The following is a 20,982-nucleotide window of genomic DNA, read 5'->3' on the forward strand; positions in this document are numbered from 1 at the left end:
AACATCACTAACATTTAATAAGCACTTACTATGTGCGGGACCGTGTGCTTTGCACTTATAGGTATTAACTCATTTGATCCCAGTTACAACCCTAGGAGGCAAATACTCTTTTTATTACCATTGTAAAGATGAGGAAATTAAGGTCCAGATGGGTAAGGAACTGTTTAAAAATATAGGTTTTATTATTATTCAAGTATGATGAGGCCAACCAATCAGGAGAAGATTGCCATTGTATAAATAGTTTGTTACTCACAGATCCCAAGAGGAAGGCAGCCTGCCACGCCACACAGGGCCATGTAGGGAAGAACTGGGGTTGGGCAGGAGGCAGAAAGATGGGGAAAAGCATGAACAAGAGCCTTTATTTTGTTTTATTTTATTTTGAGATAGGATCTTGCTCTGTTGCCCAGGCTGGAGTGCAGTGGTGTGATCACAGCTCACTGCAGCTTGAACTGCACAGCTCACTGCAGCTGGGTTCAAGTGTTCCTCCTGCCTCAGCCTCCCAAGTAGCTGGGACTACAGGCATGCACCACCATGCCTGGCTAATTTTTTCACATTCTTTGTAGAGATGGGGTCTCACTATGTTGCCCAGGCTGGTCTTGAACTCCTGGGTTCAAGTGATCCTCCTGCCTCAGCCTCCCAAAGTTCTGGGATTATAGGCATGAGCCATCGCACCCAGGGTGTTGAGCAAGAGCCTTTATTGTGACCTCATCTGGAGGGAACAGGCAAGGCAGAGTAAGATGGCTTAGGATTGGTTATTCTGAAAATTTCAGAACCTAGGGCTCTGGAGTCTAGGGGCTGCCCATCATTGTCTGGTGCGGGGCCTTGGAATGATTAGGGCAGAGGAATAGTGGCCCAGAGTGTGAGAGTCCCAGAGCGGAGGGGTGGGGCGGGTGCTCTGGAGTGGTTGGTTTGCATGTGAAAGGCACGCTTAGAGACCAGTCCTTTACTATCCCTAGGAATTGAGGAGCCCTGGGAGGCGTGGTCTCTCCAGGGTCCGCAAGGCCTCCAGATGTCAACGCATCCGAAACACATGATTGATGTGGGAATTCATGCAACGTCGCTGGGAATTTGAAACCTGGGTGAGCTCATCTCGGAGCCCTCACCCTGAGCTGCTATAGGATGAGATTTCCTCTCTGCAGCAAAATACTTGCTAATGCAACATGAGAAGAACGTAGAGGGAAGTCACAGAGAATATCAACATACAAAGAGGGGCCAGCTGCAGCGGCTCAAGCCTGTAATCCCAGTGCTTTGGGAGGCAGAGGTGGGAGGATCACTTGAGGCCTGGAGTTCAAGACCCAGCCAGGGCAACATAGCAAGATGTCATCCACCTCATCTCTACAAAAAAATTAAAAATTAGCCATGCATGGTGCTGTGCCCCTGTGGTCCCAGCTACTTGGGAAGCCGAGGCGGGATGATTGCTTGAGCCCAGAAGTTGGAAGCTGCAGTGAGCTCTGATTGTGCCACTGCACTCCAGCCTCAGCAACAGAGCAAGACCCTGTCTCTTAAAAAAAATATGAGGCCAGGCACGGTGGCTCATGCCTGTAATCCCAGCACTTTGGGAGGCAAGATTGGGTGGATCACCTGAGGTCAAGAGTTCAACACCGGCCTGGCCAACATAGCAAAACCTCGTCTCTACTAAAAAAAATACAGAAAGTAGCCGGGCGTGGTGGGGGGCACCTGTAATCCCAGCTACTCCGGAAGCTGAGGCGAAAGAATCAGCATGAACCCGGGAGATGGAGGTTGTGGTGAGCCGAGATTGTGCCACTGCACTCTAGCCTGGGTAGCAGAGCAAGATTCCATCTCAAAAAAAAAAAAAAAAAAGAAAGAAAAAAAAAAAAAAATATATATATATATATATATATATATATATGAACAGAGATGAGGCTGGGATACAGGCTGCAGGTGGGACCAGGGTGGAAGCCAGAAGGGCTGTTTCAGCTTTCTCCAGCCAGATGAAGTGTCCCTGAGAGGGCTGTCATGAGCTGGCACCCGTGTTGATTACATTATTATTTCAATCTGGGAGAAAATCAGCAATACTTAATGGAAACTTGAACTCCCCCATCCAAAAGGGCCCAGATTGGATCAAATGGTCCCTGTTGCATGGCTGGGCTGCATCTCAATTGTGTTCTGATGTGGAGCATCCCGTTCGAACATCCGCATGATTTGGGATGGGCAGCTGGACGGGGAAGCACAGCCAGGATAAACAGCAACATCTGCTGGAAACTCCCAGGAGAAAAGCTCTCCTTTTGTTGCATATTAAGTCATTAAAACAGCAAGAAAAGGAAAGAGGACTTTAATTTCCCACCATATGTGGACAATATTTTAATGCCAAGGTACCCGGGGAGACGGGTCCTGCCTTCGGCTGGCAGGCCTGGGAGGAGGGCCAGGCATGGAAGATTTGCCACGCACCTGAGCCAAGGATTTCCCTGCAGAGAGGATTTCAGGAGCCTGGGCTGGGTCTGCTCAACTCTGTCTTCCTGGTTTTCCTTTGCCTCCCCAGGACTAAGTCTCACTTAGAGCCCTGGGGATGCTACTGGGGTTTCAGACTCATGCCTACACTATTGTGTGAGACCCCCTTCGAGGCCGTGGTCATTTCTCTGAACCTGCCGCCAAGCCCCTGGGCCACTGAGATAGGAATTCCCCAGCAGTCCAGCCTGGTGTCAGGCTGACTGGATGCTGCCCTGTATCTGCCTGGACCCCCACGAGCTGTCTGCTGGAAGGAGAGTAGGCTGGATCTGGAAGCCCCCACTCCAGTCTCCAAAATGGCCCATGTGACTTTGGTTGAGAGACTTGGCATCCCTGGGTCTTGGCATCCTCATCTGTAGAATGGAGAAGGTGGAGTGTGCTACTGGGTGTCATGAGATTGAAAGAAATACTGACACCTGCTCGTGCTGGGCGCTTCCACTGCTGGGTGGCACGCGTGGTGCCGTGCCCCTGTGGGTCCCAGCTATTCAGGAAGCTGAGGCCGGAGGATCGCTTGAGCCCAGGAGTTGGAAGCTGCAGTGAGCTGTGATTGCGCCACTGCACTCCAGCCTAAACAACAGAGCAAGACTCTATCTTTTAAAAAAATATATATGGGCTGGGTGAGGTGCCTCACACCTGTGATTCCAGCACCTTGGGAGACCAAGGCAGGCAGATCACCTGAGGTTGGGAGTTCAAGACCAGCCTGACCAACATGGAGAAACCCCCGTCTCTACTAAAAATATAAAATTAGCCGGGCATTGTGGTACATGCCTGTAATCCCAGCTACTCGGGAGGCTTAGGCAGGAGAATCACTTGAACAAGGAGGCAGAGGTTGCGGTGAGCCAAGATGGCGCCACTGAACTCTAGCCTGGGCAACAAGAGCGAAACTCCATCTCAAAAAAAAATAAAAATAAAAATAAACAGAGATGAGATCACGATAAAGGCTGGTACAGTCTCTCATCTTCTGATTAGTAATCAATGATGTCCTTTCTTCCCTTCAGTGCTCATCTGGAGATCATGGTTGGGAAGAGGAGGCAGGAGCGTCGTCTGAGCTGGCTCATGAGGGGAGTTTCAGCGTGTCGTGTGGCCCCTTGTTACAGGGCCTTTTGCCAAGGCTGCTCTTGGAGCCTGCCAATAGCATCATGAAGACTCTGCACTCCTCGCAGTGACGATGCTACAAACCCAGAAGGAGCAACTGCCTCATCTCTGTTTCTCAGTGTAGAGAGTAAATTGCACAATGAGCCCTTGCCTCTGTCATCTGCCTTCCCCTAGCTCCTTGACCCAGACAACACAGCCCTGTTCCTCCATCTCCCAGGAATAGGAATTCCATCTCTGCCCTGAGCTGGACACCAGAATCTGCCCACTGGGTTTGGATACCCACAAGAGCCTCCCTGGACAATGCTCTTCACTGGCCGGGCTGGCCGTTGGCAGCAGCTGTTTGTGTCTTGGGCATCAGCCCCTATTGTAGCTGCCGTCTTTTGTGTGCCTAGGAGGGCCCTATTGAGAGGCTTATTATTATTATTATTATTATTATTATTCTTTAGAGACAGTGCCTCATTCTGTCACCCAGGCTGGAGTGCAGTGGCACATTCTTGGCTCACTGCAGCCTTGAATTCCTGGGCTTAAGCAGTCCTCCTGCCTTAGCCTCCCCAGTAGCTAGGACTACAGGCACATGCTACCATGCCTGGCTAATTTTTGAATTATTTTTTGTAGAGACAGAGACTCACTGTGTTACCCAGGCTGGCCTCAAACCCCCAGTCTCAAGAAATTCTCCCAAGTCAGCCTTTCAAAGTGCTGGGATTACAGACGTGAATCTTGGGAGGCTTAGAACCAACATTTCTCTTTCAACATGTCCTCAACCCTCCCTCTTGGGAAAAGAAGGTCATCTTGTCCCACCTTTAGTCTAAGCAAAAGGCTTAGAGCAAAGTTTCATTCTCAATTGTAGCAGCTACCCAGTCCTGATTGTGGATCTTGATTATGAGTTTATTGAGTAGTTGATCTGAAAGAGCATATTAGTCAGGTTAAGCTATGCTCTGCTGCAGTAACAAACAATGCCCAAGTCTCATGACTTTCACTCAGTTGATGTCTATTTCGTGTTCATGCAAATTCTGTTGCTGGTCTGGGTGACTATTCAGGACAATCCTCTAGGTGTTTTCCCAACAATCCACCCATCTGTGCCTGATTCAAGGGAAGAAGGAGGTGCAATGATCCCTGGATCCAGAGAGAAGATGGTGGGGATGGTGGGGAGTAGTCCTGATGCCTCCCACAGCTGAAAATCACAATAATAGTCACAGCACACTCATGGTGGCTGCTGACATCCTGGTGCTGTACTGAGCATGGCACATGTTAAGTCATTCAACTCTCACAGCAATCTTATAAGGCAGACATTCTTTTCATACGCATTTTATAGAAGAGGAAACTGAGACTCAGAGAAATGAAGTGATTTGCCTGAGGTCTGCACCACCATCCCTCCAGTGCTACCTCCAGGAGAACCTCATTGATGGGGATACAGGGAACAGCCCCCAAGCCTCTTGGCGTCCTCCAGAGTTTGCTGGGACTGCACTGTGGCATTCTCTTTGCTGAGTAATGTGCCTGATTTTCCTGTAGTCTGTTGGGACCAGATAGGCCAGAGAGTATGGTACTGCCTTAGTTTCCCCAAAGTGGCAGAGGGACAGGGATGAAGGCAGTCGACCAGCACACAGACTAAAATCAGGACAAGATTTGTGGCGTGACTGTGCTCCAAGCAGGAGCCCCCAGTTCTGTGGGAAGTAGCTACTCATGGGGGAATCTCAAAGTCTTTGAAACAAAAGTGACGATTTTGGCCCACTGAGGAAATGCTTGCTGCCACCCTTGAAACTCTCTGGACACTCCAGTGGTGTTTGTGGGTACGAATCCTTGGCTTTTGACAAATCAAGGTTCATTCTAATGCTGTTTCCCAAGGCCCGGCCCAAAGCACCCTGATCAATGGGCAGCCCCCAAATTGTGCCAACACCATGGACTTTGGAGGTCAGGTCTCAGTTACGATGGCTGTGTTAGTCCATTTGCCTTGCTATAAAGAGATACCCAAGGCTGGGTAATTTATAAAGAAAAGAGGTTTGTTTTGGCTCATGGTTCTGCAAGCTGCACAGGAAGCATGGTGCCAGCATGTGTTTCTTATAAGGATACTCGGGAAGCTTCCAATCATGGCAGAAGGCAAAGGCAGTGCAGGCATGTCACATGGCAAGAGAGGGAGCGAGAGAGAGAAAAGGAGATGCCTAGCTCCTTTTTTTTTTTTTTTTTTTTTTTTTGAGACAGAGTCTTACTCTGTCACCTAGGCTGGAGTGCAATGGCACGATCTCAGCTCACTGCAACCTCTGCCTCTTGGGTTCAAGAGATTCTCCTGCCTCAGCCTCCCAAGTAGCTTGAATTACAGGAGCCTGCCACCACACCTGGCTAATTTTTGTATTTTTAGTAGAGATGGGGTTTTGCCTTGTTGGCCAGGCTGGTCATGAATTCCTGACCTCAAGAGACCTGCCTGTCTTGGCCTCCCAAAGTGCTGGGATTACAGGTGTGAAACACTGTTCCTGGCCCCAGGCTCCTTTTAACAATCAGATCTCATGGTAAGCAACACAGCAATAGCTCACTCATTACGGCAAGGACAGCACCAAGCCATTCATGAGGAATTGACCCTAAGGACCCAGACACCTCCCACAAGACCCCATCTCCAATATTAGGAATCACATTTTGATGAGATTTGGAGGGGACACATATCCAAACTATATCAATGGTATTTGCCTGTGAGAAACAAAAAACCCAATGAATGTTATATTAAATAAGTTTATTTGCCTCATGCAATAATGACCAGGGGGAAGAGAATACATTGATGTCATCAAAACCCAGATTACTTCTACCTCCTTTCTCTGCCATCCTTGGCATGTGGAACTGATTGCCTCATGGCCACAGAATAGTTGCTATGCCTCCAGACATCATATCTGTATTCCAGGCAGAATAAAGGAAGAAATCTGATTGGCTGAATCTGTTCCAAAGCCTCTGCCTTTTTGGCTTACATCTTCATGGCCCAAACTGTTCAGTTGGCCACATCTAGCTGCAAGGAAGTCTGGCAAGTTAAGGTTTCTATCATGTCTAGAAGAGGAAGGTAAGGAAAAGGGAGCTGGAAATGGCACTGGGCATCCAATCCTTGCCGTCTGCCAGAGACAGGCAGATTTGGCAATACCACTTAGAACATGACTTTGCACACTTTATTTATTAGAACTTCAGTTTATTCAGTTGGAAAATGAGGGCAATAACAGTATCTCCCTCCCAGGGTTGCAGTGCCTAGAATACAGTAAGTGTTTAATAAATGGTAAATCTCATTGTAATTATTATAATAGGGAAACAATATTTACATAAAAAGGCTAGCACAGCCCCAGTTAATGTCGTTCTGGAAAATTACTGAACTATCCCAAATTATACAGTAATATATCCCAAAATATATTCTACCATCCCTGCGGAGGTAGCTTAAAGTTTTACTTCAAGAGTCCTGAGGCTGAAGAGGGTGGAAATTGCTAACCTGTTTTCTTTGGAGCCAGTCAGAAGAGCCCATCAGGCGGAATAAACCGAGAAGGAGGGAGGTCGACCAGGAAGCTTACAGGACCACAGTCAGGGCCCTGCTCTGCCCATGTGAGGTTGTGATTCTGCGGAGACAAGCGAGGATGGAGACTTCCCAGAACTGGAATGACTCAGATTTTCACCTGCTGCCCTCTCCCTGGTGGAGCTGGCACCCTCTCCCCACCCCACCCACTTCTGTGATGCATTGTTTTGGCTGTTAAGCATACAGAAAGCGGATGGAAGCTGGAGGCTGGAGGCCGGGGCTCCGAGGTGAATATGCAGATGTTGAGAGCTGGGACCAGCACTTGAGCTGGCTTCACCTTGGAACTGGGGGCTGCAGCAGGAGATGCCCCAGTTCCTGGTGTCCCATGGGGATGAAAACTGGGAAGGTCAAGCAGACAGATTTCTGCAGAAAGGAGGTTCCAGCCCTTGTTTAACCAGCCCAGGTGCCTCTGAGAGCCTCCAAGGGTCGTGGTCCACAAGGAGGAGAGTGGACAAGATCCCCATGGGGACCCCCCATGGCTGTTCTGCTTGGGGCTGGTCTCCAACGAGCCCTATCAGTCCCGGGCTTTGGGGAGGTCACGTGGGCATGTCCCAGGGCCCTGTGCAGGCGCAGCTCAGCCCTTGGGTCCCGAGTGGGTCATTTGAGCTGATACAATGTCTGGGGAAGCACAGGTATCCCAGAAATGGGTGGGAGATGCTGGATGCCACTCCACACGCTGCACACGGATGGTATGGAGCTGGCTTGACCGGGCTTGGCTGGTGTCACTCTGCTTAGTGTCATGAGTGTCCATCTGTCCTGTGACCTCCTGGGGCTGCCTGTCTCCTTCCCAGTACTTCAGCAGCAGGGAAGCCTAGGAGAGACTCAAGAGGACATCCTACCTGGTGAAGCCATTCATACATATTGAGCATACATAATGCACCGACTGCATGCACTGCCCTGGGCCAGACCAGTGTTAGAGACAGCCCTGGTCAAGTGCTGAATGCAGCTCTTGATTTTGCTTTGAAGTCTGCTGATTTCTCCCCTCTAGGATGATTTTTTTTAAAGAGATAACTCAGAGTTCGTCAATTGGAAAGAGACACGAAGGAAAAATTAAATTTGGAGTATCGGTGTCCTAAATGGTCAATCCAAGTTGACACCAAGCAGCTGGCCCTCTAGGGAAATCAGCCTCCCCTAAGGGGGTTGGATTTGGGGAGGAAATTGGAGGACTACTGCCTGGCACACAGGTGTCCTCTTCTGAGGCGTCTGGGCTAAGCTGGGCCGGGGAATAATTGTCCATCAGCCCACCCCTCCTCCTAGCAGGTCCCTGACTTGACCCATTGGTTTAAGCTTCTCATTAACCTCCAAGATCGTTCCTGTCTTGGGGCCTTTGCACCTACTGTCTCATCTCCTTGGGCAGAAATGCTCTTTTCCCAATTCTGTGGCCAGAGCCCCTCCTTTCTCACTCTGCAGGGGTCACCTCTTAAGGCAGAGTAGCCACCCAGTCACTCTTCACCCTCTGCGCCTTTCTCATAGTTTTTTTCTTTTTTAGAATTTTATTTTAGAGACAGGGTCTCACTCTGTAGCCCAGACCGGAGCACCATGGTGCCATCATAGCTCACTGCAGCCTCGAACTACACATTTCTGGGCTCAAGCAATCCTCCTGCCTCAGCCTCTCGAGTAGCTGTGACTACAGGCGCAGCCCCCACACCTGGCTAATTTATTTAATTTTTATACTGAGGAGGGTCTTGCTATGTTGCCCAGGCTGGACTCGAACTCCTAGCCTCATGTGATCCTCCCATCTCAGTCTCTCAAATTGCTAGGATTATAGGCATGAGCCACTGTGCCTGGCCCCATGGTTTTATTCCTTTTTTTTTTTTAATTTCATTTTACTTTCAGTTCTGGGATACATGAGCAGAATGTGCAGGTTTGTTACATAGGTATACACGTGCCATGGTGGTTTGCTGCACCTATCAACCTGTCATCTAGGTTTTAAGCCCGGCATGCATGACACATTTGTCCCAGTGCTCTCCCTCCCCTTGCCCCCCATCCTCCAACAGGCTGTGGTGGGTGATGTTCCCCTCCCTGTGTCCATGTGTTCTCATTGTTCAACTCCTACTTATGAGTGAGAACATGCGGTGTTTGGTTTTCTGTTCCTGTGTTAGTTTGCTGAGAATGATGGCTTCCAGCTTCGCCCATGTCCCTGCAAAGGACACGAACTCATTCTTTTTTATGGCTGCAGGCTTTATTCTTTACCAGCACTTATCTTGACATGGTCTCATAACATCCTTCTCCTCCCACTAGGGGATAAGCCCTGTAGCCCCAGTACGTAGAAAAGATCATAGTGCATAGTAGGTCCTCAGTAAATATTATTAGGATGGATGAAAGGGTCCCATTTTACAGATGAGACAACTGAGACCCAGAAGCCAATAGACTTACCAAAGCCCACATCATGGGTCAGTGCCAGGATTTGAACCCAGTCTTCTGTGCTCTTTCTTCCTAGCACTGCCCTCCCTCTCAAATGCTCCAGGTCTCTTCTCATCTCAGCCTGATGATTCCAGCTCTATACTTACAGCCGCTTGACCTTATCCACAAGCCACTTACCTTCCTGTGCCTCAGTTTCCCCTTCTGTAAACTGGGAGTGATAGTGATATTGCCTGTCTTAGAGTACATGTAAATGGTAAATGAGACCACATACACTGGGCCTTGGAGCCAAGTCTTAAAAATGAGCATGGGCCGGGTGCTGTGGCTCATACCTGTAATCCCAGCACTTTGGGAGGCCAAATTGGGAGGATCACTTGAGCCTAGGAGTTCGAGACCAGCCTGGGCAATGCAGCGAGACCCTACCTCTAAAAAAAAGAAAAGAAAAGAAAAATTAGCCAGGTGTGGTGCCGTGCACCTGTGGTCCCAGCTACTTGGAAGGCTGAGGTGGGAGGATTGCTTGAGCCTGGGAAATAGAGGCTGCAGTGAGCTATGATCACACCACTGCACTCCAGCCTGGTTGACAGAGCAAGACCCTGTCTCAAAAAACTGCCTGAGTTCATTCATAGCTGCTCTCTGCCCTCCACTGGTATCTCAAAACATCCTCGCCATCCTTGCTACGTGGACGTTTCTTTGTTGTTGTTGTTTTTAGACAGAGTCTTACTCTGTCACCCAGGCTGGAGTGCAGTGGCACAATCTCGGCTCAACGGCAACCTCCACATCCCGGATTCGAGTGATTCTCCTGCCCCAGCCTCCTGAGTAGCTGGAGCTACAAGTGCCCAACACCATGCCTGGTTGATTTTTGTATTTTTAGTAGAGATGGGGTTTCACCACATTGGCCAGGCTAGTCTTGAACTCCTGACTTTAGGTGATCCACCCACCTCAGCCTCCCAAAATGCTGGGATTACAGGCGTGAGCCACTGTGCCTGGCCAGACATTTCTGATATTACAAACTGGCCCTTGTACTGAATAAGACTGGGACCTCCACATTGAATCACACTGGGACCCTTGGGCCAACACAGGCTATTGGCCCAGGGCGACAGTGATGTGTGCAGTGATGACAGTGGGCACTGCCAGGTCAGGAAGACTACTGGGGGGCGGGAGTGGGTATTCTAGTGCCAGACCCTCTTACATGCGATATCTGTGCCTTCCAGAAGAGCTGAGACTATAACTGTAGATTTTGGTATCTGATCTGGCAACTGATGTTTTTTCTGAAAATGATGTCACCGTGACCTTCCTGGATGTCTGCATCAGCTGTCCCTGCTGTCAAGATTTCTCCCTGGGCCTGGGCTGTTGAGCTCCCTGCCTGTGATTTGTGGAACTGCTGGCATTGCAGAGGGAAGAAGGGGAGCAGGGCAGCAGGTCTGCCATGTATAGTTGTGCAGTTTGCAGACTTGAGGTCCTAGGGAGGCTCCGTGCACATGGCGGGTTTCTTCAGACCATCCTTGCATTCCTGCTATTTTCATGCTTGTATTCTTGCTTGCTGTCTCTGAGACAAAGTAGCAAACATAAGACACCAGGTTGGCCAAGTGCGGTGGCTCATGCCTGTAATCCCAGCACTTTGAGAGTCCGAGGCGGGTGGATCACCTGAGGTCAGGAGTTTGAGACCAGCCTGGCCAACATGGTGAAATCCGGTCTCTACTAAAAAATACAAAAATTAGCCGGGCATGGTGGCAGTTACTCAGGAGGCTGAGGTGGGAGAATCGCTTGAACCCAGGAGGTGGAGGTTGCAGTGAGCCAAGATTGTACCATTGCACTCCAGCCAGGGTGACAAGAAAGAAACTCTGTCTCAAACAAAACAAAACAAAATGAAACAAAAAACACCAGGTTTGCTCATTTCTTGTAGCATCAGAATTTCACAAAGTCCCTGACTGTGAAGGTGGGCAGCTCTCCCGAAAGATGCTTTAAAGACAAAACAAGACAGAGCACACAGCCCACCACGTCTCTTGCCCGAGTCACTGCATTCCTCAAAACTTAGACTGGGAATGGTGATTCATGCCTGTAATCCCAGGATTTGGCGGGGCCAAAGCACACCTGTACTCCCAGCTACTCAGGAGGCTCAGGCAGGAGAATCACTTGAGCCCAAGAGGTGGAGGCTGAAGTGAGCCTTGATCACACAACTGCACTCCAGCCTGGGTGACAGAGCAAGACCCTGTCTCTTAAAAAATAATAAGAATAAAATTAAATGACCCTAGTCCTTGCCTTCTTCTGCACACAAAATGACATCTAACAGGGTTGTGATTACACTTCTGTAAGCTATAACCAGTTGTTCTTTTGCACTTAAACTTTGATGTGATTTTACACATACTGAACCTCCACTACCTGTATGTAAGCGGTGAATTAAAACAGTAATTGGTCCCTAGCAAGCAGACTACAAAAAACAAACACAAAAGCAAAAAAGGAAGAAACACTGATTGCTTCAGAGAAGTCTGATTGAACCTCTCTAAAGGGCTGCCCCTGGGCTATGGGCCTCAGTCTATAGTCCTCAGTAAGACTTCTGAATAAAATGAACTTTAATTCTTTAAAAGCTTGATTTTTCGCCAGGCGGGGTGGCTCACACCTGTAATCCCAGCACTTTGGGAGGCCAAGGCAGGCGGATCATTGAGGTTAGGAGTTTGAGACAAGCCTGGCCAACGTGATGAAACCCCGTCTCTACTAAAAATACAAAAATTAGTGGGGCGTGGTGGCGGGCACCTGTAATCCCAGGTACTCGGGAGGCTGAGGCAGGAGAATTGATTGAACCCAGGAGGCAGAGGTTGCAGCGAGCCGAGATTTCACCATTGCACTCCAGCCTGGGCAACAAAAGTGAAACTCCATCTCAAAAAAAAAAAAAGAAAAGAAAGAAAAGCTTGTTCTTTTTTTTCTTTAGTTGACATGTCTATCTCCCCTACAGGTCTGAGCCCTTAAACACTGAGATGTCATTGCCCCTGCATCCAGTGCCTAGCTGAGGCCAGGCCATCAACATGATTGCTAGTACCATTGCATAAGCCACACATGTGGTCTAAATTCTCCAGCAACCACATCAAGCCCATGTATGCCTAGTGTTCCATTATTGGAACGCTAAGAATGCGGGGGTTGTTTATATCCTACCGCTCAATGTCATCACAAAGGTCTGATTGCAAAAATTCAAAACATTGCAACCTCAGACATAAATGGGTTAAAACAGGAAAATGAAACAGATGAAGTACATTTTAAGAATATATTCCATTTTAACCCAACGTACCCAAAATGTTTATCATCCCGACATATAATCAATATAAGAATTACGAAGGAAATATTTTACATTTTTGGTACTCAGTCTTAGAAATCTGGTGTGTATTTTACACTCACTGCGTATCTCCATTCACACCCTAAATTTTCCTCAGAAATACTTGATCCGTATTTAGACTTCTTTAAAAATTTGCAGTTGAAAAAAAAGCAGATTCTAACGTCTAAGTGGTTCCAAACATCTTGACGCGTTTTCTGATAACTCCCTCTGGCATCCATTCTTAAAATTCAAATGAATTGATAACAAACACAATTTATAAAAGAAAAGTTCAGCTCCTCAGTCATGCAAGCCACTTAAAATTCCAAATGCTTTATAGCCACATGGGGCTGGTGACCATTGTATTGGGCAACACGTAGAGAACATTTTCAGAGCTCTAGAAAGTTCTGTGGGGCAGAGCAAAGCCAGGCCCTCGTGTCCTTTGGCCAAGGGTATGCCTTATCCATCCAGGTACTTAGGCCTTCAGCTCATCCCTGAGGGGTTTGTGGTCAGTGCTGTCCCTCTAGGCGACCCCAAAATCCTCCCCACTGAAACCAGTAATACTTTTACTACTAGTAATACTTTTACTTTTACAAAAGCCAAACACAATTCTGTCAAACATACGAGTGACACAACTTAGAGCCCGCCCAGCTCAGAATGAAAAGGTAGATTTTGGCCGGGCGTGTTGGCTCAAGCCTATAATCCAGGACATTGGGAGGCTGAAGTGAGAGGATAATCTCAGGTCAGGAATTCAAGACCAGCCTGACCAACATGGTAAACCCCGTCTCTACTAAAAACGCAAAAATTAGCCGGGCATGGTGACACATGCCTGTAATCCCAGCTACTCGGGAGGCTGAGAAAGGAGAATTGCTTGAACCCGGGAGGTGGAGGTTGCAGTGAGCAGAGATCCCACCACTGCACTCCAGCCTGGGCAACAGGGTGAGACTCTGTCTCAAAAAATAAATAAATAAATAAAGGTAGACTTTATAATTCCCTCTACACCTTTGTTTTTCAGATGGGGACACAAAACCTAAAAAAAAAAAAAATTCAAGAGGCCGGGCGCAGTGGCTCATGCCTGTAATCTCAGCACTTTGGGAGGCCGAGGTAGGTGGATCACCTGAGGTCAGGAGATCAAGACCAGCTTAGCCAATATAGTGAAACCCCGTCTCTACTAAAAATACAAAAATTAGCTGGGCGTGGTGGCATGTGCATCTGTAGTCTCAGCTACTCGGGTGGCTGAGGCATGAGAATTGCTCGAACCCAGGAGGCAGAGGTTGCAGTGAGCCAAGATCGCGCCATTGCACTCCAGCCTGGGTGACTAAGCAAGACTCTGTCTCAAAAAAAAACAAAAAACAAAAACAAAACAAACAAACAAAAAAACTTCATGAAACTCCTGGGAGACAAAGGGTTTCCAGAACACGTGGAAAAATGAAGTCTGAAGTGGACACATCTTTAAGCACTTCCTGGATGGGGCCCATCTGGTCACTTTCGGTGCCACTGGAGAGTGGTGAGTGAGGCTGCCAGATGAGTACGTCGCTGTGAGTTCATTAGCAGACCAGATCTTATGTCGGCTGAAGGCTGCTGCTTTAATTTTATTTGTTGCTGTTTCAGGGTTTTGGTCTGCTTATGCAATCTCCCATCAATGCCCCCCAAATAAACAATCCGTCCCCAAAGTGGCACATTTGCTGGTATTCCTCAGATTAAAATCCCTAAACTAGGTATTTAATTTGGATTTGGCGTGGCCACTATCGGCCTCAGATAGCGTCAGAATCAAAATAAAATTTGGAACTCTTATGAGACAACCAGCAACTTTCTCTGACGCCGGACTTCTCTCACGCTGGTCTTTCTTGCTTCTAACGATGGGTCTGGAGGCAATCGTCAGTGATATTTTTGTGGCTGAGGCTGGTTTCTGGCCGAGTCTGCCTAATTACGTGTTGGAGTGCATGTCACACCTGCTTCCTGAGCTCGCAGAACACAGGAATGCGCTATGTAATATTTATGGTTCCTGTTAAAACCCACAGAATAATTTACGACGCTTGGCACTGGGCTGTTGTCTTCGACAGAGGCTCCCTGCCTTGGTAGAAATGCCCCTTCCCCTCCACGCCTAGGTCAGGACCAGTACAGAGGAGACTCAGCCGACCCTGCCCTGAGATGGCCCTCCCAGTTAGAGAAGTGGGGAGGGGCTCCCCTGGCTAGCGCCTAGCCTGGGAATTTGGGTTAGAGGTGAGATGAAAATCCCATTTAAAGAGGTTCAGGCTGGGAGCAGTGGCTCACGCCTGTAATTCCAGCACTTTGGGAGGCCGAGGCAGGAGGATCGCCGGAGGTCAGGAGTTCCAAACCAGCCTGGCCAATATGGCAAAACTCTGTCTCTACTAAAAATACAGAAATTAACCACCATGGTGGCACGCACCTGTAGTCCCAGCTACTCAGGTGGCTGAGGCACGAAAATCGCTTGAACCCGGGAGGTGGAAGTTGCAGTGAGCCAGGATTGCACCACTGGGTGCCTCCTGGGTTCCAGCCTGGGTGACAGAGCAAGACTGTGTCTGAAAAAAAAAAAAAAAAAAAAAAAAAGATGCTCAGAAATGGGTCAAGTGTGGTAGCTCATGGCCTATAATCTTAGTGCTTGAGAGGCCAAGGTAGGAGCATCCCTTGAGAACAGGAGTTTGAGACCAGCCTGGACAACACAAGGAGACCCCATCTCTACAGAAGAAAATTTTTAAAATTAGCTAGGCATGCTGGCATGCACCTGTAGTCCCAGCTATTTGGAAGGCTGAGGCAGGGGCATCACTTGAGCCCAGGAGTTTGAGGTGACAGTGAGCTATGGATCATGCCGCTGCACTCCAGCCTGGGTGACAGGATGAGATCCTGTCTCTACTAAATAAACAAATAAAAAAAAAGCTAAAAAATTTTTAAAAAAATATAAAAAATAAATATGTCTTTTCACGCAGCCATGCATTCTTTCATTCTGCATCCTCACCATGGTCCTGTCTCCAGCTTTATTCTGGACAGAAAGCTCTTGGAAGTGGGGCTGGAGGGGAAGAGTGATGAAGACAGTTAGGGGTGGGAGAGGGGAAAAGAGGGGACCCCAAGAGACCCAAGTTTCTGCTTATACTCCTCCCTCTCTCCTTCCTTCCCTTCTTTTCTGGGCTTTCTCCCGAAATTCACGTTGAAACCTAACCCCAATGTGAAGGTATTTGAAGGTGGGGCCTTTGGGAGATGATTAGGTCATGAGGGGTTCATGTCCTTATAAAAGGGACCACAAAGAGCTCTCTTCCTCCCTCCTCCATGTAAGGACACAGCAAGAAGATGCCATCTATGAACCAGAAAGCAGATTCTCGCCAGACTTGGAATTTGCCAGCACCTTGACCTTGGACTCCCCAGCCTCCAGAACTGTGAGCAATAAATTTCTGTTGTCAATAAGCCACCAGTCTAAGATGTCCCGTTAAAGCAGCCTGAAGAGACTGAGGTCCTTCCTTCCTTTCTTCCCTTCTTCCTTCCATCCTTCCTTCCTTCCTCCCTCCCTCTCTCCCTCCCTTCCTTACTTCCCTCCTTCCTTCTTTCCTTCCTCCCTCCCTCCCTTCCTCCTTACTTTCCTTCCTTCCTCCCCTCCTTCCTTCCTTCCTTCCTTCCTTCTTCCCTCCCTCCCTCCCTTCCTCTCTTCCTTCTTTCTTTTCTCTCTTTCTTCCTTCCTTCTATCCTTCCTCTCTCTCTCCCTCCCTTCATTCCTTCCTTCCTTCCAATAATATTTGATAAGCACCTACTGCATATCAGACACTAAAAATACACCAAATAACAATAAGAATAATAAACCCAAGTCCCTGCCCTTGGGACATGTTTTGCCCGGAGGAAGACAGAAACATTCCCTACAGAATTCCACAATGTGTAAATTCACAACTGCTAACTACCATGGAAGAGCACATACATTCTCTTCTCAGTTTCTTTCTTTCGTTTTTAAATCGTATTAACTAATTAATTAATTAATTTTGAGATGAGATCTTGCTCTGTTGCCCAGGCTGGAGTCCAACAGCACAATCATAGCTCATTGCAGCCTCCACCTCCCGGGCTCAAGTGATCCTCCTGCCTCAGCCTCTTGAGTAGCTGGGACCACAGGTGCACACCAGCATGTCCAGGTAATTTTTTATTTTATTTATTTATTTTGAGATGGAGTCTTGCTCTGTTGCCCAGGTTGGAGTGCAGTGGCATGATCTTGGCTCACTTCAACCTCTGCCTCCCAGGTTCAAAGGATTTTCCTACCTCAGCCTCACAAGTAGCTGGGATTACAGGTGCCTGCCACCACATCCAGCTAATTTTTTGTATTTTTAGTAGAACTGGGGTTTCACCATGTTGGCAAGGCTGGTCTTGAACTCTTGACCTCAAGTGATCCACCCACCTCAGCCTCCCAAAGTGTTGGGATTACAGGCGTGAGTCACCAAGCCCGGTGGTAATTTTTTAATTTTTTGTAGACATGGGGTCTCCCTATGTTGCCCAGGCTGGTCTCAAACTCCTGGCCTCAAGCGATTCTCCCACCTCAGCCTCCCAAAGAACTGAGATTACAGGCATAAGCCACTGTGCCCAGCCTATTGTCTCTGTTTCTTAAACATCTCCAAAGTCCAAGGAAGCGTAAGTTTTTATCTTCACTGGCTTAATGCCCACATGGGTGCACAGTAGGCTTGGATTTCTGGGAATTTGTCCCTGTGGTACCAAGCGTTTGGCTATCTGTAAATAGTCACATCATTCATTCATTCATTCATTTGTTCATTCCCTCAAATAACAGGTAGACTCTATGCTGGGTGCTGGGGTACAGAGCTGTGAACAGGAGACTCTAGCTCAGAAGGAAGACAGCGATGATGGAAGTGAGCCATGGACGGTTGGGAGGGCTCTGTGGAGGGAGGCCTCGTGCTTAGGAAGAAGGCGGATGGGTATCAGGAGCTGGTTGGTGTGGATGTAACTGAAAAGAACCCAAATGAGAGAAGGCAAAGGCTCCTAATTCAGAGCTCGCTATAGCAAGGGAGTCGGCCACTGTCATTTGGCATTAGGCAGACAGACTCAAAGGCAGGTAGAGGAAAGCTTTAGAGAGAAAAGGGAAGGCCCAGGTGTGCCCTGGTTGGAGGCTGGAGAGATCTCCCTGGAAACAGGGCTCCTATGAGGTTGGATAGAATGGAGCCTCACTGGCTTCCTCTACTTGGTCATGAATTGGAAGTGCGGGGAAAAATTTTTCAAGAAGCTGGTAGTTACTGATCTAGCCCTGGTGTTTGGTTTGACTTCCTCGGCTGGCGGCTGCAGGAGGTGGGTCAGAGTTCCATTGTCATACACGGGCCGAACACTGGTGTTTGCGTTCCAGTCTCAGCCCTGAATGCCCAGCTCTGTTCCATCCTCAGAACGAGCCCTTATTTCCATGCATCCCATCTCTCATCGGGAAAGCTTTCTGCACACGGATTCAGGAGCTGAGTCTAGAAACAGAGGAGTTGTTTCCGGGAAAGGGTGGACCAGACAGAGGAATCAGCATCCTTGGCACAGGACCCAGGCATCCAGGGAATCTCGGGCAGCTGCAGGGAAGGGCGGGGCTTTGCACTTCAAGAGGGAGGGAAATGCGATGAGGTCAGAGAAGGGAGCAAGTGCTGGGGCATTAGGGACCCCATATATCCCGGGAAAGTGGTATGAACCTTACCTGAGGAGTCATGGGGAGTCACTGGAGGGTTTTAAGCCAGGGCAAGCCATGATCTGAACAGAGTGCTGGAAGGATGGATGGGACTGTGTGGGGACAATGCGTTGTTGAAGGACCTTGAGAGGAGGTGGGAAAACCTGCGGTCCCAGTTGTCCAGCAAGAGTTGAGGCTCCTGAGTCACTGCAGGGTCAGTCAAGGTGAGTAGCTCCTGCTGGGCGACATAGATGCACCCTTGGGCTCCACACAACAGCCTGGGTGTCCCTGGAGGCAGCCTACCCTCAAGATGTTTGGGGCCATGTCCTCCAGGCCTCCAACTTGCCCTGACCAATGTTTAAACCACATATCTCAGATTCAGCTGACATTGAACTCACAGAACTCATGTGGCTAAAAGCAAGGGTGGGTTGAACCTGAAGACAGGTTGGGATGGCTCTTAACTGAGATGTTGCCATGTCATACTGTGCCTCATGAGCTTTAGTAGATGACCAGGGGAACTTGGCTGACCTCTGAGCATCTCCAATTTGGTATTGTGCAAAGGAATGAATGAGTTAATGAATTAGTGAGTGAAGGAGTGAATGAATTAATTAACAAACCAACAAATGAATGAGTATATGAATGAATTAACAAACCAACAAGTGAATGAATGAGTGAAGGAGTGAATTAATGAATTAACAAACCAATGAGTGAATGAATGAGTGAATGAATTAATGAATGAACAAACCAAGTGAAATAAATGAGCAAATGACTGACTGAACCAACAGTGAATGAATGAAGGAAGGAGTGAATAAACGATTGAGTGAATGGATGAACCAAGCCAATGGATGAACCAAGCAAATGAATGAACAAACTGAGTGAATGAATGAACAAACTGAGGGAATGAATGAATGAGTGAATGAACAAACCAACAAGAGTGAATGAATGAATGGACAAACCAACAAATGAACGAATGAGTGAACAAATGGACAAACAAATGAATGAACGAGTAAATGAATGAATGGACAAACAAATGAATGAATGAGTGAACAAATAGACAAACGAACAAATGAATGAATGAGTAAATGAATGAATGGACAAACAACAAATGAATGAATGAGTCCATGAATCAGTGGACAAACTAACAAATGGATGAATGAGTGAAAGAATGAATGGACAAATCAACAAATGATGGATGAGTGAATGAATGAGTAATACATCAAAGCTCCTGCATCCTACCAATGTGCTTGCTTATAAAACAAGGATGTAATTTAAGTTCCTAATGAGCCTTTGAGTGTGTTCCATAATTAGGGAAGGCTCTGGCAGGCAGATGTGTGGGCCAATTGCTACTCAGAGAACAAACCACTTCTTTGTTGAGTTGATCCAGGATGGAGATTTACCAAAGTGAAAACTAATGAGATTCCACAGTCACCGGGTTTTATGTGCAAGCGTATAATACCGGTGTAATTATACGTGTGCATCCATAAATTGGACACAAAGCTGGAAAATGGGCTTCAGTGGCAAAGGCAAAAGAATGACAGAGCCATAAAAGATACACCATGCCCCAGCCGTGTGAAAGCCACCATGATGGAGCGTTTGTTTCCAAGGACTTAGCGATCTGGGGTCTCCTTTGTCATTCCCTAATCTTGTCCTTTCTTCTTAAGGTCAGGCAGTGCCCAAATCTTGGCGTTCTCCCAACGTCTGAACTGCAAATGTCAGGGATTGCTCTGAGCTGGCGGGGAGTATTGCTTGCACTTTTTGTGGCTTCAAGCCATGTTGTTCGTTAATCACAGAGCTTAAAATCTGATCAGACAAGATCTCACTTTAGTCTTTCTAAGCTGGCAATTTTGCAGAATGCCCAGAGAATGACTGACATTCATTACATTAATTGTAAAACCCTTTAACCACCCGTTCTATCTGCAAACAGAAGCTCTTGAGCAGGGAGGAATTGGCAGCAAGCCTGCTCCTCTCTCTAAGCCCAGTTTCTTTCTCTGTAAATGAGGGGTTTGGTATAGTTGCCCTGTTCGTAAATTACCCTAAACTTCGAAATCTCTGATTTACTCCCCAGGAGGTGACTTCTGTGGCAGTCTTGGGCCCACGCTGCATGAACTAATCCAGAATTTGTGAAGAAGGCTGAGGAACAGGCCCAGGACATTTTGGCCACTCTGTGCTGAGATGACCCCGGGGAGGGAGCCATTCTGTTATTCATTTGCCAAATCAGGTTCATTCAGCTACAAAGTCTCCAAGAAATCTGCACGCAAGGCTACCCCAAACACCATAGCCCATACCCAAAACAGATTCTCTCTCTAGTGTTTCAAAGGGCCCCCTAAAGTGCCAGATGCTATTATAGAGACTGAGGGTCACAGCAGCAAGATCATACTGCATCCACTGTCTTCTGGGATGGCTATGAAAAGGAACCAGCCTGGGGAAAGTCTCCGGGGGCTTCCAGGAGGAGGTGGGCTGGGGATAACCTCACCAACTGGGTGGGATTCAGTTGAACAGATAGAAAGAGTCAAGGCATTTTTCCAACTCGGGTCTGTCAGTATGGCTCCTCCAAAGAAGGACCATTCTGCCATCAATGAGTTAGTGGTC

The 20,982-nt window shown here is 47.9% G+C and overlaps 1 long non-coding RNA gene across 1 annotated transcript; it reads left to right on the forward strand.

Moving 5' to 3' along the window:
- The first annotated feature begins 781 nt into the window (after nucleotides 1–781).
- LOC105375418 (uncharacterized) lies at nucleotides 782–3,674 on the forward strand. The gene is made up of 3 exons (XR_927790.2): nucleotides 782–859; nucleotides 957–1,079; nucleotides 3,465–3,674. It is a non-coding gene; the product is annotated as an uncharacterized LOC105375418 (long non-coding RNA).
- The last annotated feature ends 17,308 nt before the right edge of the window (nucleotides 3,675–20,982 follow it).

The sequence above is a fragment of the Homo sapiens genome, chromosome 7, assembly GCF_000001405.40.
Source record: "Homo sapiens chromosome 7, GRCh38.p14 Primary Assembly".
Taxonomy (NCBI): Eukaryota; Metazoa; Chordata; class Mammalia; order Primates; family Hominidae; genus Homo; species Homo sapiens.